Source organism: Homo sapiens, chromosome 4 (assembly GCF_000001405.40).
Source record: "Homo sapiens chromosome 4, GRCh38.p14 Primary Assembly".
NCBI lineage: Eukaryota > Metazoa > Chordata > Mammalia > Primates > Hominidae > Homo > Homo sapiens.
Window position 1 is genome coordinate 168441596 of NC_000004.12, and position 18562 is coordinate 168460157.

General features: G+C 38.0%; 1 protein-coding gene across 20 annotated transcripts in view; it reads right to left on the bottom strand.

Annotated features, from left to right (window-relative positions):
* The window catches only part of DDX60L (DExD/H-box 60 like), a 123758-nt gene that overhangs the window by 84861 nt on the left and 20335 nt on the right, over positions 1-18562 (bottom strand). For all 20 annotated transcript variants that reach the window (XM_047416399.1, XM_005263341.5, XM_011532403.3 and 17 more), the window contains 4 exons: positions 16297-16413; positions 14444-14557; positions 11529-11687; positions 7043-7184 (listed from right to left, as the gene is read on the bottom strand). In XM_047416399.1, coding sequence (XP_047272355.1) covers positions 7043-7184; positions 11529-11687; positions 14444-14557; positions 16297-16413 — 532 coding nt within the window. The remainder of the gene's footprint in view (positions 1-7042; positions 7185-11528; positions 11688-14443; positions 14558-16296; positions 16414-18562) is intronic.

The window sequence follows — 18562 nt, forward strand, 5'->3', positions numbered from 1 at the left end:
AAATATGGAAACTTACAGTGAGTTACACAATACACTTGCATGAAAATTAGTCATGACACTATGACAGTACTTTTTTAAAGTCATTTTCTCTTTAAATATAATGCAGAGCCAGGTACTGTGACATGGGCCTGTGGTTCCAGCTACTCAGGAGGCTGAGGCGGGAGGATCGCTTGAGCCCAAGAGTTCAAGACCATCTGGGCAATGTACCGAGATGCCCTCCCTGCCCAAAAAATTAACAAAGGAACATCACCATTTTAATCATAGTCCTTATTAAATAATGTGAATGATAAATATATAATTATTCCCAAAAATAATGAAGCACAATATGCTACATATAAGCTTGCAACTTTAAAAACTAATTTCAAAACAAGTTTTTAAAGAGTTTACAGAATATGGGGGAGGAGCCAAGATGGCCGAATAGGAACAGCTCTGGTCTACAGCTCCCAGCGTGAGCAACGCAGAAGACGGGTGATTTCTGCATTTCCATATGAGGTACCGGGTTCATCTCACTAGGGAGTGCCAGACAGTGGGCACAGGTCAGTGGGTGCGCGCACCGTGTGCGAGCCGAAGCAGGGCGAGGCATTGCCTCACTTGGGAAGCGCAAGGGGTCAGGGAGTTCCCTTTCTGAGTCAAAGAAAGGGGTGACGGACGGCACCTGGAAAATCGGGTCACTCCCACCAGAATACTGCACTTTTGCGACGGGCTTAAAAAACGGCGCACCACGAGATTATATCCCGCACCTGGCTCAGAGGGTCCTACGCCCACGGAGTCTCGCTGATTGCTAGCACAGCAGTCTGAGATCAAACTGCAAGGCGGCAGCGAGGCTGGGGGAGGGGCGGCAGCGAGGCTGGGGGAGGGGCGCCCGCCATTGCCCAGGCTTGATTAGGTAAACAAAGCAGCCTGGAAGCGCGAACTGGGTGGAGCCCACCACAGCTCAAGGAGGCCTGCCTGCCTCTGTAGGCTCCACCTCTGGGGGCAGGGCACAGACAAAGAAAAAGGCAGCAGTAACCTCTGCAGACTTAAATGTCCCTGTCTGACAGCTTTGAAGAGAGCAGTGGTTCTCCCAGCACGCAGCTGGAGATCTGAGAACGGGCAGACTGCCTCCTCAAGTGGGTCCCTGACCCCTGACCCCCGAGCAGCCTAACTGGGAGGCACCCCCCAGCAGGGGCACACTGACACCTCACACGGCAGGGTACTCCAACAGACCTGCAGCTGAGGGTCCTCTCTGTTAGAAGGAAAACTAACAAACAGAAAGGACATCCACACCAAAAACCCATCTGTACATCACCATCATCAAAGACCAAAAGTAGATAAAACCACAAAGATGGGGAAAAAACAGAACAGAAAAACTGGAAACTATAAAAAGCAGAGCGCCTCTCCTCCTCCAAAGGAACGCAGTTCCTCACCAGCAATGGAACAAAGCTGGATGGAGAATGACTTTGATGAGCTGAGAGAAGAAGGCTTCAGACGATCAAATTACTCTGAGCTATGGGAGGACATTCAAACCAAAGGCAAAGAAGTTGAAAACTTTGAAAAAAATTTAGACGAATGTACAACTAGAATAACCAATACAGAGAAGTGCTTAAAGGAGCTGATGGAGCTGAAAACCAAGGCTCAAGAACTAAGTGAAGAATGCAGAAGCCTCAGGAGCCGATGCGATCAACTGGAAGAAAGGGTATCAGCAATGGAAGATGAAATGAATGAAATGAAGCGAGAAGGGAAGTTTAGAGAAAAAAGAATAAAAAGAAATGAGCAAAGCCTCCAAGATATATGGGACTATGTGAAAAGACCAAATCTACGTCTGATTGGTGTACCTGAAAGTGATGGGGAGAATGGAACCAAGTTGGAAAACACTCTGCAGGATATTATCCAGGAGAACTTCTCCAATCTAGCAAGGCAGGCCAACGTTCAGATTCAGGAAATATAGAGAACGCCAAAAAGATACTCCTCGAGAAGAGCAACTCCAAGACACATAATTGTCAGATTCACCAAAGTTCAAATGAAGGAAAAAATGTTAAGGGCAGCCAGAGAGAAAGGTTGGGTTACCCTCAAAGGGAAGCCCATCAGACTAACAGCGGATCTCTCGGCAGAAACCCTACAAGCCAGAAGAGAGTGGGGGCCAATATTCAACATTCTTAAAGAAAAGAATTTTCAACCCAGAATTTCATATCCAGCCAAACTAAGCTTCATAAGTGAGGGAGAAATAAAATACTTTACAGACAAGCAAATGCTGAGAGATTTTGTCACCACCAGGCCTGCCATACAAGAGCTCCTGAAGGAAGCACTAAACATGGAAAGGAACAACCGGTACCAGCCGCTGCAAAATCATGCCAAAATGTAAAGACCAGCGAGACTAGGAAGAAACTGCATCAACTAACAAGCAAAATAACCAGCTAACATCATAATGACAGGATCAAATTCACACATAACAATATTAACTTTAAATGTAAATGGACTAAATGCTCCAATTAAAAGACACAGACTGGCAAATTGGATAAACAGTCAAGACCCATCAGTGTGCTGTATTCAGGAAACCCATCTCACGTGCAGAGACACACATAGGCTCAAAATAAAAGGATGGAGGAAGATCTACCAAGCCAATGGAAAACAAAAAAAGGCAGGGGTTGCAATCCTAGTCTCTGATAAAACAGACTTTAAACCAACAAAGATCAAAAGAGACAAAGAAGGCCATTACATAATGGTAAAGGGATCAATTCAGCAAGAAGAGCTAACTATCCTAAATATATATGCACCCAATACAGGAGCACCAAGATTCATAAAGCAAGTCCTGAGTGACCTACAAAGAGACTTAGACTCCCACACATTAATAATGGGAGACTTTAACACCCCACTGTCAACATTAGACAGATCAACGAGACAGAAAGTCAACAAGGATACCCAGGAATTGAACTCAGCTCTGCACCAAGCAGACCTAATAGACATCTACAGAACTCTCCACCCCAAATCAACAGAATATACATTTTTTTCAGCACCACACCACACCTATTCCAAAATTGACCACATACTTGCAAGTAAAGCTCTCCTCAGCAAATGTAAAAGAACAGAAATTATAACAAACTATCTCTCAGACCACAGTGCAATCAAACTAGAACTCAGGATTAAGAATCTCACTCAAAACCGCTCAACTACATGGAAACTGAACAACCTGCTCCTAAATGACTACTGGGTACATAACGAAATGAAGGCAGAAATAAAGATGTTCTTTGAAACCAACGAGAACAAAGACACAACATACCAGAATCTCTGGGATGCATTCAAAGCAGTGTGTAGAGGGAAATTTATAGCACTAAATGCCCACAAGAGAAAGCAGGAAAGATCCAAAATTGACACCCTAACATCACAATTAAAAGAACTAGAAAAGCAAGAGCAAACACATTCAAAAGCTAGCAGAAGGCAAGAAATAACTAAAATCAGAGCAGAACTGAAGGAAATAGAGACACAAAAAACCCTTCAAAAAATTAATGAATCCAGGAGCTGGTTTTTTGAAAGGATCAACAAAATTGATAGACCTCTAGCAAGACTAATAAAGAAAAAAAGAGAGAAGAATCAAATAGACGCAATAAAAAATGATAAAGGGGATATCACCACCGATCCCACAGAAATACAAACTACCATCAGAGAATACTACAAACACCTCTACGCAAATAAACTAGAAAATCTAGAAGAAATGGATAAATTCCTGGACACATACACTCTCCCAAGACTAAACCAGGAAGAAGTTGAAACTCTGAATAGACCAATAACAGGAGCTGAAATTGTGGCAATAATCAATAGCTTACCAACCAAAAAGAGTCCAGGACCAGATGGATTCACAGCCAAATTCTACCAGAGATACAAGGAGGAACTGGTACCATTCCTTCTGAAACTATTCCAATCAATAGAAAAAGAGGGAATTCTCCCTAACTCATTTTATGAGGCCAGCATCATTCTGATACCAAAGCCAGGCAGAGACACAACAAAAGAAGAGAATTTTAGACCAATATCCTTGATGAACATTGATGCAAAAATCCTCAATAAAATACTGGCAAAACAAATCCAGCAGCACATCCAAAAGCTTATCCACCATGATCAAGTGGGCTTCATCCCTGGGATGCAAGGCTGGTTCAATATACACAAATCAATAAATGTAATCCAGCATATAAACAGAGCCAAAGACAAAAACCACATGATTATCTCAATAGATGCAGAAAAAGCCTTTGACAAAATTCAACAACCCTTCATGCTAAAAACTCTCAATAAATTAGGTATTGATGGGATGTATTTCAAAATAATAAGAGCTATCTATGACAAACCCACAGCCAATATCATACTGAATGGGCAAAAACTGGAAGCATTCCCTTTGAAAACTGGCACAAGACAGGGATGCCCTCTCTCACCACTCCTATTCAACATAGTGTTGGAAGTTCTGGCCAGGGCAATTAGGCAGGAGAAGGAAATAAAGAGTATTAAATTAGGAAAAGAGGAAGTCAAATTGTCCCTGTTTGCAGACGACATGATTGTATATCTAGAAAACCCCATTGTCTCAGCCCAAAATCTCCTTAAGCTGATAAGCAACTTCAGCAAAGTCTCAGGATACAAAATCAATGTACAAAAATCACCAGCATTCTTAAACACCAACAACAGACAAACAGAGAGCCAAATCATGAGTGAACTCCCATTCACAATTGCTTCAAAGAGAATAAAATACCTAGGAATCCAACTTACAAAGGATGTGAAGGACCTCTTCAAGGAGAACTACAAACCACTGCTCAAGGAAATCAAAGAGGATACAAACAAATGGAAGAACATTCCATGCTCATGGGTAGGAAGAATCAATATTGTGAAAATGGCCATACTGCCCAAGGTGATTTACAGATTCAATGCCATCCCCATCAAGCTACCAATGACTTTCTTCACAGAATTGGAAAAAACTACTTTAAAGTTCATACGGAACCGAAAAAGAGACTGCATCACCAAGTCAATCCTAAGCCAAAAGAACAAAGCTGGAGGCATCACACTACCTGACTTCAAACTATACTACAAGGCTACAGGAACCAAAACAGCATGGTACTGGTACCAAAACAGAGATATAGATCAATGGAACAGAACAGAGCCCTCAGAAATAACACCGCATATCTACAACTATCTGATCTTTGACAAACCTGAGAAAAACAAGCAATGGGGAAAGGATTCCCTATTTAATAAATGGTGCTGGGAAAACTGGCTAGCCATATGTAGAAAGCTGAAACTGGATCCCTTCCTTACACCTTATACAAAAATCAATTCAAGATGGATTAAAGACTTAAACGTTAGACCTAAAACCATAAAAACCCTAGAAGAAAACCTAGGCATTACCATTCAGGACATAGGCATGGGCAAGGACTTCATGTCTAAAACACCAAAAGCAATGGCAACAAAAGCCAAAATTGGCAAATGGGATCTAATTAAACTAAAGAGCTTCTGCACAGCAAAAGAAACTACCATCAGAGTGAACAGGCAACCTACAAAATGGGAGAAAATTTTCGCAACCTACTCATCTGACAAAGGGCTAATATCCAGAATCTACAATGAACTCAAACAAATTTACAAGAAAAAAACAAACAACCCCATCAAAAAGTGGGCAAAGAATATGAACAGACACTTCTCAAAAGAAGACATTTATGCAGCCAAAAAACACATGAAAAAATGCTCATCATCACTGGCCATCAGAGAAATGCAAATCAAAACCACAATGAGATACCATCTCACACCAGTTAGAATGGCAAACATTAAAAAGTCAGGAAACAACAGGTGCTGGAGAGGATGTGGAGAAATAGGAATGCTTTTACACTGTTAGTGGGACTGTAAACTAGTTCAACCATTGTGGAAGTCAGTGTGGCGATTCCTCAGGGATCTAGACCTGGAAATACCATTTGACCCAGCCATCCCATTACTGGGTATATACCCAAAGGACTATAAATCATGCTGCTATAAAGACATATGCACACATTATTGTGGCATTATTCACAATAGCAAAGACTTGGAACCAACCCAAATGTCCAACAATGATAGACTGGATTAAGAAAATGCGGCACATATACACCATGGAATACTATGCAGCCATAAAAAATGATGAGTTCATGTCCTTTGTAGGGACATGGATGAAATTGGAAATCATCATTCTCAGTAAACTATCGCAAGATCAAAAAAACCAAACACCGCATATTCTCACTCATAGGTGGGAATTGAACAATGAGATCACATGGACACAGGAAGGGGAATATCACACTCTGGGGACTGTTGTGGGGTGGGGGGAGGGGGGAGGGATAGCATCGGGAGATATACCTAATGCTAGATGACGAGTTAGTGGGTGCAGCGCACCAGCATGGCACATGTATACATATGTAACTAACCTGCACAATGTGCACATGTACCCTAAAACTTAAAGTATAATAAAAAAAAAAGGAGTTTACAGAATATGGAGAGGGTGAGAATTTTGTTAAAACTAGTAAAATTTGCTACATTTTATGCAGTCAGTTTATTCAAGTGTTTGTCATTTAAGGGAATTAAATGCCAGAGGTCCAAAAAACTTCAATAATGTTCGTTCAGGAAAAATATGTTTTGAAATGTTTTATTATTCTCTGACTATGTAAGCCACTCTAGATAATTTACTCTATAAAAATATTCAAAGGAAGGCAAAAATTATGTATGTACCAAAATGCAGTTTTATTTATTTTTAGGAAAAATGCAATATATCCTTAAATGTTCAAAAATAGTGAAAGGATTATATTAATTACAGCAAGCGTTATAAAATATCATGCATCTACCATTTAAATAAAAAATATAACTATTAATATGCTATCATATCATAGCATATCATATCATAGCATTATACTCATTTTCAAATGCTATTAAGTGAAGAAAAAATAAAATACGTAAAAAGTATGTACACACACAAAGGTTTTCAAGAAACAAAAATGTTGCTGTGGTATGTACTGGAAAATTTATAAGGGTTTTATATAATTTGTTCATGATATAATGTTAATGCATATTCAGGTACTACCTTGAGTACTTTCAAATTCATAGTAGAAGGCTATATTCTTTAACAATTGCTCATCATACAAGTCAGAAACATGATTTAAATTCAGATTCCAGCATCCAAAAACGTTTAAGTTGCTTAAAATGAAATATTCACACCACTTGTTCTGAAAATTAAAAATAAAACATTATTAGCAGGGAGGCATGGAATAATTTCATACTCCTGGTTAACCCCCTATAAGGTAGGTCACAAGGGACATTTCTGGGTGGAATGATAAAGTCATTACAATCACAAATATTACAGATGGTGATCTATAAGTCCCCAAACTAATGCTTTCATATCTTTACTTTTAAAACTGGGAATTGCACTGCTTATCCTAGTACTCATTATTTACCTTATAGTACGCTGTTCCCTTAATGTGGTACTAAAACTATAGATGACAATACTAACACCTTTGTCATGCAGGTCCTGGGATCCCAGCCAGGCCTGCATGAGTACATTTAGACAGTTGCAAACTGGTTCCATTCCTCTCACTTTGGGGTCAACACCTACCCCCACTACACCCCTGGTGAGCAGGAAGAAGTTAGAGCGGTCTTTGCCCTTTTTCCATCTTCTTTAGCCAAGACCTTAAGATTAAGAGGCACATATACACCATGGAATACTATGCAGCCATAAAAAATGATGAGTTCATGTCCTTTGTAGGGACATGGATGAAATTGGAAACCATCATTCTCAGTAAACTATCGCAAGATCAAAAAACCAAACACCGCATATTCTCACTCATAGGTGGGAATTGAACAATGAGATCACATGGACACAGGAAGGGGAATATCACACTCTGGGGACTGTGGTGGGGTCGGGGGAGGGGGGAGGGATAGCATTGGGAGATATACCTAATGCTAGATGACACGTTAGTGGGTGCAGCGCACCAGCATGGCACATGTATACATATGTAACTAACCTGCACAATGTGCACATGTACCCTAAAACTTAGAGTATAATAAAAAAAAAAAAACATTAAAACAAAAAAAAAAAATGCAAAAAAAAAAAAAGAAAAAAGAAAAAAATTACTAAATGATGTGCTTGACTAAGAAAGAGGCTGAAACTGAAAAGAGTAGGCTGCAAGAAGCAATGGTGAAAAAATAAAATAATGAAAATAGAATAAAAATAAAATAAACATGTGGGTAAAAATAAAAAAAAAAAAAAAAAAGAGGTTATAAAACCCAGAAGTAGGGATTGAAACCACCATTGCAAAATTATGACTGAAACGGTGAAAGAGATCTGACTTAACTAACTCCACCTTGCTTCTAACCTCCAAGCTGTTCTTGTTTGTTCCTGGGTGTAGGCTGAACTAACTTTGGAAGGAACTTTGTTTACAGTTTATAGTTTGAAACAAAGATGATAACAGCCCTTTCTCAAAACAAACCCCCTTCATTCCTGGGGACTCGGCGGCCCATGGAGGACTAACAAATTAGTCAAAAGATTAGAAATTATGGCTTAGGAGTCATGCAGCTGGAGGCTACAAGATTCTGACCCTCCCCAGTATTGCTCCTGGGGATAAAACCACTATTGTAAAACCTAAGCCAGTACTTGAGATATTTTGCAGACCTTGCACGTGATGGATCAGCTGACATCAGCCAGCTCTATAAACTGGCTCATCTGATCTTGTGGTCCCCATCCAGGAACTGACTCAGTGCAAGAAGACAGCTTCAACGCCCTATGATTTCATCTCTGACCTGACCAATCAGCATTCTTGGCTCACTGGCTTCCCCCTACCCACCAAGTTGTCCTTAAAAACTCTGATCTCCAAATGCTCAGGGGAGACTGAATTGAATAATAATAAAACTCTGGTCTCCCTCAAAAAAAAAAAAAAAGATTACAGATGAACTAAGACCAACTCCAAGGAAAGAGTTGCCTCCACTACCTTTATTTTATACCCATCCACTCACTATTGTTGAATATTCCATAGATTTTGTACCCCATCACTCTACCAAAACAGCTCTTAATAATAATTAGCCTTGGCTAGGTACCATGGCTTATGCCTATAATCCCAACACTTTGTGAGGCTGAGGCAGGAGGATTGTTTGAGCCCAGGCATTCAAGACCAGCCTTGGCAACATGACCAGACCTTGCCTCTACAAAAAATAAAATTAGCCAGGCATGGTGGCGTATAGTCCCATCTATTAGAGAGGCTGAGGTGGGAGGATCACTTGAGCCTGGGAGGTCGAGGCTGCAGTGAGCTATGGTCATGCCACAGCACTCCAGCCTGGGCAACAGAGCAAGATCTTGTCTCAAAACAATAATAATAATGACAACAATAATAATTGGCCTTGACTTTCATGCAATTAAATTAAAGTCACTGAATTTTCTTGTCAACATCCTCATATTATCTGCAGAATTTGACACTAATAAACCATTTCCTTCTTTTTGAAATATGATTCATATGAACTCTAAGATATCATATTCTCCCAGATTTTCTACCATCTATCTTCACCACTCTTTTTCAGTGTCTTTTTCTAATTCTTAAGCTTCTACCTGACCACTAAATTCTGGAATATCTCTGGACCCTGAACCTAGATGTCCTCTCATTTTACCTAGAAAAACACATAACTGGTATGGTATTCAGAACCACTCATGGGCTGATGTGTCCCAAATTTTTATTCCCAGTCTAAAGAATACTTAAACTGCCTTTTACATATTTCCTTTGGAAGTCTCATTGCCACCACCTCAAACTCACTATTTCCCAAACTCATTGTTTTCCTCTTCAGAATGTTCTTCTTTCGGTGGCAGCATCCATACAGTTGGCCTAGCCAGAAACCTGAAAGTCATCATTGACTCTTCCTTCTCCCTTCTGCCTCATATCCTGTTCCTTAACCCTGTCAGTTTCAAAGCCTAAAGAACTCTTGTATCTTTGACTTCTATTTGTTCCTATTGCCACCAACATCTTAGCCATGTTAGCATCATCACCATGTGATCACTGGGGTGGTTTCCTCACCTCTATATTTGGATGTCTACAATGCGCTCTATGCACTTCAGCCAAAGAACTCTTAAACAAAAATGTCAATTTCAGCTTGAAATCCTTCAATCACTTCTCATTATTCTTAGGATTTCCTAAGTCCTTAACAGAGCCAACAAGTACTATATTGATTTTTCTCCTACCCCCTCCTCAGCTTCATCAGCTTTTCTCCTCTCTGGTCACACTAAACATATCTGAGCTCCTTGTGGCATTCGCAAGTGCTATGTCCTCTCTTGAAAACCTTTTGCTCTTCCCTTCCCCCACTAACTACTACTCATCCTTCAGACCATGAGTCATTTCACTTGTCTTCACTCTTCAGAGAGGTCAACCTTTCCAGACTGGGTTGTATCTCTTAATCATTCATTTCCAAAGCTTCATTAGTCCCTCCTTCATATCCATCAGCACCTTTGTAATCATTTTACTGCTTATTCAATAATGCAAATTGAAGTTCCATGGAAGAAGAAGAGATATGAGTTTGTATTTTTCTCCACTCCTTCCTTGGTGCTTATCACAGTGAATATGCACTGAATAAACATGTGTGGACCAGCTGCCTGACAGACTGGTTTTAAAATGTCTATGATAACAATTTGACAGTATCTATCAAGATCCTCAAATTTTCCATACCTTTTTGGCTTATCATCTCTTTTCCCATTTCAGAAAATCTATTCAAGGTAATTCATTACAAATTATCCCTCAAGGCCAGTAGCATTTATGATACAAAAGCTTCAAATGATCCTAATGTCCCTTTATAGAGGTATGATTAAGTAAACTACAATACAATCACTCAAACGTATTTAGTAGCCATAAAAATTATGCTAACCAGCTTGAGTGAATGGGTACCCCATTCTCCATGATGTGATTATTAGGCATTGCATGCCTGTATCAAAACATCTAATGCACTCAATAAATATGTACAACTACTATGTACTCACAAAAATTAAAAATTTTAAAAATTATGCTAACCAAAAGTGAAAATGCTTTTACAATAAAATAATATGTAGCATATATCGTATGATTGCAACCATAACAAAAACTAGGCCCTAAAATAAAAAATGAAAGAAATTAAACCAAAATATTAACCGTTAACAGTATTAATTTGAACAGTGGGTTAGGAGTACATATTATTATTTTTTCTTCAATTTTTAACTTTCCTTTAATACACTTTTATTAAAAACAGAAAAAATAAATTCATAAACACTTTTCCTGAGTTTCTCTACAAAGAGAATACAATGTCAATCAATTTTCTATGATTGATTATACAAAAACAAGATCTCATCAGAGATAAGAAGGAAAAAGAGGAGGCTCTCATGCTTCTATAAAACAGATATACTGTGGTTTTCCTCATTACACTACCAAAAATAAAAGTTGTTGAAAATAGGAACTTGATTTATCAGCTAATTAGATCTGGCATTATTCCAATATAACTCTAGTTTTAAAGGTGATCATGGTTTTCATCTCTCATGTTCAGACAAAAAATAAACAAAATATGTTTACCATTTTTAAGAAAGAATCACTGTTCCTAATCCAAGAGCATGTGATGACTCGAGAACAAGCTCTCTGAGAAAGGGGTAAGTGGAGTTGAAAAGCCACACAGAGGCAACGCAGTCTGCAGAAATCTTCCACCTCCTGCAGGGATAGGCAATTACTGTGCACCTGCGTACAATAAAGAAGATGAGAACAGTCACAATGTCACGCTGTGAAATGGCATTGAAATAGGCACTCCACGAAGATCATATCTTCAAAGTTTTACATCTACATTTGTGAGAAAGTCCCCTTCTGCATACACAAACTTGGCTGCACTGATACAGAAGTAGGTAAGAGGGAGGGAAAGCTCCAGGCTTAGTAGTTCACATAATGCATTTCTTATGATTTTCAGTGAAGCTGGACTTTAAATGAGTTGGCAGCAAAGGAAGTCCCTGACCCAGAGGTCTGAGGATTGACAGAGCCCCATGTAAAATGCTCTGTCATTTCAGAGAATGAAGAGTAATATCTACAAACCCATGGCAGGTTCAGGGTGAGAAATCCCGGATGGCAATCTATCTGTAAAACGTATTGAATGAGAAATCGGGGAAGGAAATGGTCAAGTTTCACCTCCTGTGGCAGAGACTTCAGAACTATTTTCGAATATATAAAAGGTTGTCATATGGAAGGTTAAAAAAACCTTAATCTGGGTATCTTCATAGAGCAAAATTAGGGATAACTGAAATTACAAGGAGATTGATTTGGGTTCAATATGTTCATTTTTTTAAATTAGAACCACCAAAAACATCGTGCATGGTCATTTGAAAATATTTTTCCAAAAACAATTAGGCAAATAGAGTAAAGGAGATTCAAATGAGACAGTGATCCCTAGCCATCTCTAAATCATGTGAGAAAGAAGCAAATTAAATTAATCAATATGAACTTTTGTGAGAAATCAGCTTTTATACCCAGAACCCTATGATGGGTGCTATTCACACTCCCACCCACGGCACATCTTCAGCATAACATAAAAGTGAATATATTAAGGTAATTATCATTTTTAAGCATGCTCTTAAAATTCTGACAATCATGCTGAAATAAAGTTTCTAAGTTCTTCATTTTTTACTGTTTATCTTCAAAATTTAAGTATTCAAATTCACAATTTTAGAGAAATCTACATAGCTAAGATCTACTGTACTACATACTAAATTAAAATATTGGAGTGCTCTGTCTCCTACATTAAAAAGACTATTGCACAGTAATTCAGGATCTGGGCTCTGAAAACCGTCTAACTCCAGTCAAGACACTGTATGAGTCAGTTCTCCTATATGTATAAAATTGGGATAGTAACAGTACACTTTCTCATAGGGTTTCTGGAAAAACGTGAAATATCTAGAATATCACCAATACACAGTAAGCCCTAAATGTTACCTATTATTAGCTAGTCTTCATAACATCCCAGCTCTGTAGGTTGAAAGCAGCTATTAGCACACATTAGACAATCAATATCCTTAGCTAAGGGAATTAATAAATGTGTTATCAGTCAAGAGAAAGTCAAAGATGGGAAATTCAAACTAAGGAAAGAATCAAGAAGGAAGAAGCATAAAATGCTCACTGCTCTCTCCATTCTCCATTCTCCATGGTGCTCCCGAAGAGTAAACAGCTTCCTTTTTTTTTTTTTTTTTTTTTAGCAGCTAGAAGAATGTTGTTGTCATTTGTTGGGATGGAGAAGAGTGAGGCAGAAGCAGGTTTGGGGAGTTTGGTTCCAGAAATCCTAAATTTGAGATGTCTATTACAAATCCAAGTGAAAATGTTGAGTTGGTGGTTCAGACTAGAGGTCTGAAATTCCTCTAGTTATTTCAAAGGGACATTAAAATTGCCTTCCAAGATATGTATGATCAGTGGGGGTAGATATCATGTCTATTTCTTCTCTCTCTCCAAATATATTTATTTTTGGCATATATATTACCATGCACAAAGTAAATATTTTATGAAAACATGCTGATAGATTTAAGAAATGGACAATTTTCTCCTATAGAATACTAACTTCTTGAGCCCTGTACAGTCACATTATTTCTTTCTTTTTCTTTTTCTTTTTTTTTCTATTTCTTTTATTGCTGTTTGTTTTAAGAACAGAGTTTTCAGCCTGAAACACACCAATATCTAGACTGCATACAAACTTTGTGTGTGTGTGTGTGTGTGTGTGTGTGTACTTATGCAAGCAGGGATGCATATAGTAGAGCGGAAAATCCATGTTCCTCAAAAGATTCCTAAAGGGCCCTATAAGCTGAAAACAATTATAAAAATTCAGGATCTCTATAGTCTCAGTGACACTAATAAACAATAACAGAACTGTTCTTTTAAATACACAACTTAACAGAGCAGAATCATTACAAGCTGTGGAGCCAACCATCCTAGTCAAAATCCAGGCTGCCTTTTACCATGTGATTTTAGGTAGGTTAGGGAAGTCTTGGTCTCAAAGTCTTGAATCGACAGGAGAGAGTGATAATTGCTATACTGAAAAGTTGTAAGATTACATGGTGTCAGGTAACACAAAGACCCTGAAACACAGCGTATAGTGGGGCCCCTCCTCCAATTTGTTTCTTTTCCTCTTCCTCCTCACTTTCTCTGTTTTTTAGAAGAACTGGGCCAAATAACTACTAAGTGAAACACCAGATAAAACTTGCTGTACATTGTATTTTAAGAAAAACACTAAATTACGTAACATAATATTTTCTTATGTATACAGATTCTAATTTTTCTCCCCTTTTTGGTATTTAATACACATAAATTGGTGGGGGAAGGGGCTAAATTCCTAATGAAGAAAATGGCGGTCAGAAACCAAGAGTATGTCCACAGTGGAGAACCTGATGCCACCAGTGAAGTTATACCAGTTACACCTGATGAATGACAGCTTTCTGCCTGGCGGCTGTGTTCTTTTTACTTACTAAGACACGATGGTACATTCTCAAGGATAGTGAACATGAAGTGACACAGAGAACACGCTGGATGTCCGATCCTTCTGACCATAGGTGCTGAAGCAGAAATAGAGTCTGATACGCCTATCAAAAAAGAAATTTCTTCAAATGTCAAATTATTTAGAAATATTCTTTTACTCAGAAGTGCTCTTACTTGTAAGAAACATAAAGAAAACGATTGTATAGATTTGACTAAACGGAACTTCAAATGTTTAGTTTAAAAATGTATGATCATTTTAATGATAGAAAATTGAAAAATAATTACAACCAATATGCCAGAGAAATATGAAAACCTAAATATGTAAAGAAATTAAATAATAAGAAATTAAGATTTAGTAAAACATGAACTGATTCACAAAGAAGGAAATAGATTATTAATAAAAATAAAATCATCCCATTTTACTAAAAATCAGAGAAGTATATGTTAAAACAAAAATTAGCTTGTTATAAATATCAATAATATCAAAAATTTTAAAATAATATCACACAACATTGAAAATTGTGTGGTGAGTCACCTCTCTTACAGATTAAAGATAAAAGTACAGGTAGGTATAGAATTTCTGCAAAGCTCTTTGACAACGTCCATCAGGATCATTAAATATGTTGATGCCTTATGATCCAGTTTTGAATTTCTGGGAATTTAGCACAGAGGAATAATAACCCAATATGTATACAAAAAACATATACATCAAAATGTTCATTATAACATTATTTATATGAGCCAAAATTTTGAAGTAATTTAAGTGTCTAGCATTAAGAAAATATAATGCACTCATTAGATACTACATTTATGAAAAATTCTTAATGACAAGAAAATATGCAATAATCTTAATGAAATGTACACTAAAAATATATATACAGTCTGGGCATGGTGGCTCACAGCTATAATCCCAAGACTTTGGGAGGCCAAGGTAGGAGGATCACTTGAGCCCAGGAGTTCAAGACCAGCCTGGGTAACAAAGTGAGACACCATCTCTATATAAAATAAAAATTAAAAATTAGGCAGGCATGGTGGCATATGCCTGTGGGTCCAGCTACTCAGGAGGCTGAGGTGGGAGGATCACCTGAGCCTGGGAGGTCAAGGCTGCAGTGATCCATGATTGTGTCACTGCACTCCAGAATGGGCAACAGAGTGAGGCCTTGTCTGAAAAAAAAACAAAACAAAACACCAAAAACATATATATAAACTACATACACACACACACACACACACACACACACACATACACACACACACACACACAATATGTCCTCAGCTACACAAAAATATATGTTAAAACGCTAATATCAAGAAGTGGAATTATGGATATTCTTACTACTTTTGTGTTTTTTTCCAAACTTTCTTATGCAACCACCTTTTACCGCTTGAGCATCAGAAAAAAAAAAAAAGAAAGAGGTGCTTAGTAATCCATCATGATAAATAGTAGTATAAAGCATAGCTTGAGAAGATAATCAGAAAATTAGACTTAAGGTATAATTAATTCCACATTTTGACTGTTTATATGGCAAATGATATCTTAGAGCCCTCCTCAATTTGAATACTGGAAAATAAACATTACTGTTGCATTAAGTACTACAATTTTCTAGTTTCCCAGAGTCTGTTTTAAAATATGGCTTCCGGAAATGAATATAAAATTACATATGCCATCCGATGAATTCAAGGTACTCTGAGAGCATGACATTCTAAGATTCAGATAGTATACATGTACTAAGGAGGTATATGGCACCCTTTAGTCTGGTCTAAGGACTGAACTAATCACAAGTTCATTCTCATTTACCAAATTCTATCAAACTTTTATTTAAAGAAATAAAAATTTTAATACCTCTTCCATCATATCATTCCATTTCAAATGTTCAAAATGAGTTGCTAATACTAAAACCCTTATTTCTTCCAAGTGTTGTATGAGGCTTTTATATGCACTCTGAATCACTGTTTCATTCTGTAAAAGGGAGAAAACCATATAAAATATCTTAAATAAAGTATTTCCCAGCTGTAAAATATGAGACACTTGAGGCAAATCAAAACCACAATGAGATATTATCTCATGCTGGTCAGAATGGCGATTACTAAAAAGTCAAGAAACAACATATGCTGGCGAGTTTGTAGAGAAATACGAATGCTTATACACTGTTGGTGGGGATGAAATTAGTTCAACCATTATGGAAGACAGTGTGGCAATTCCTCAAAGACTTAGAACCAGAAATACCATTTGACCCAGCAATCCTATTACTGGGTATATACCCAAAGGAATATAAATCATTCTATTATAAAGATACATGCATAAGTATGTTCACTGCAGCACTACTCACAATAGCAAAGACATGAAATCAACCCAAATGCCCATCAATCATAGATTGGATAAAGAAAATGTGGTACATATATTCCATGGAATACTATGCAGCTGTGAAAAGGAACAACATCATGTCCTTCACAGGGACATGGATGGAGCTCGAAGCCATTATCCTCAGCAAACTAACGCAGGACCAGACAACCAAACACCACATGTTCTCACTTATAAGTGGGAGCTGAACAATGAGAACACATGGACACAGGGAAAGGAACAACACACACTAGGGCCTGTTGGGGGAACGGGGGAGGGAGAGCATCAGGATAAATAACTAATGCGTGCAGGGTTTAATACCTAGGTGATGGGTTGATAGGTGCAGCAAACCACCATGGCACACATTTACCTATGTAACAAACCTGCATGTTCTGCGCATGTATCCCAGAATTTAAAATAAAGTTAAATTAATTTTTTTAGTGAGACATTTGAATTCTACATTTGTTATAAGGTATACTAAGTAAAATCACCCTCATATGTCTTTAGGACAATTTTTCTTAAGCTCTGATAAACATGCATATTTCCTCTTTGACAAATTAATTTTTATTTCAGAATATAATGAACTGTCTTGGTATTATGGAGCTTTCAAAAATATAGAAACTTAGAGAAGGTAGTATGGACCCCCAATCCTGAACAATTATCAACATATAATACATCTATAATATTTATTGAGACTAATTTAAACAGTCCAAAGGGGGTGAGAAAAATAACTTCTTTTAGGGAAATACTTATAGATAATGAATTAGAAAATAATTTTACAGAAAATAAAATCATCAATTTAAGAAGAAAAGAAGGCCAGGCATGATGGCTCATGCCTGTAATCTCAGCACTTTGGGAGGCTGAGGCAGGAATATCACTTGAGCCCAGGAGTTTGAAACCAGCCTGGGCAACATAGCGAGACCCTATATAAATAAATAAATAAATAAATATGGTTATTCTTAAAGAGAGACCAATCAAGACCCTAGTATTGCATTTTTAAGTCAGAGTCTGGTATTTTTCAGGCAAAATAGAGACTTACTGGTAACAGTACCTCTTCTCAATATGAAAATAAAGTCTAGAGGCCAGGCACAGTGGCTCACGCCTGCAATCCCAGCACTTTAGGAGGCCAAGGTGGGTGGATCACCTGAGGTCAGGAGTTCAAGACCAGCCTGGGCAACATGGTGAAACCCTATCTCTACTAAGAATACAAAAATTAGCCTGGCGTGGTGGCAGGCACCTGTAATCCCAGCAACTTGGGAGGCCAAGGCAGGCAAGAGAATTGCTTGAACCAAGGAGGCGGAGGTTGCAGTGAGCCAAGATCACGCCACTGCACTCCAGCCTAGGCAATATATCAAGACACCAAAGGGAGGGAAGGAAGGAAGGAGGGAAGGAAGGAAGGAAGGAAGGAAGGAAGGAAGGAAGGAAGGAGGGAAGGGAGGGAGGGAAGGAGGGAAGGAAAGAGAAGTCTAAAGTTCAAAAAAAAAAAACCTGGGGAAATATTTTAATGACAGAATAAAAATAAAGCAAATAACTAATCTAAAAGCATGACAAACATCTGTATGTCTTAATTACATGAAGAATGTTTCTCAAAACATGATAAATTGTAGTTTTATTGCCATGTTGTACATTTAGAAGGCAATTTTCCAACCAAAACAAAAAACAAAGGCGGAGTTCCAATTTCAAAGGACAGAGATCTGCTATAAAAAGTAAAAATATGAATTACATTGAAAGATTATTTTTGATAAACTATCGAATGGCCTGCATCATC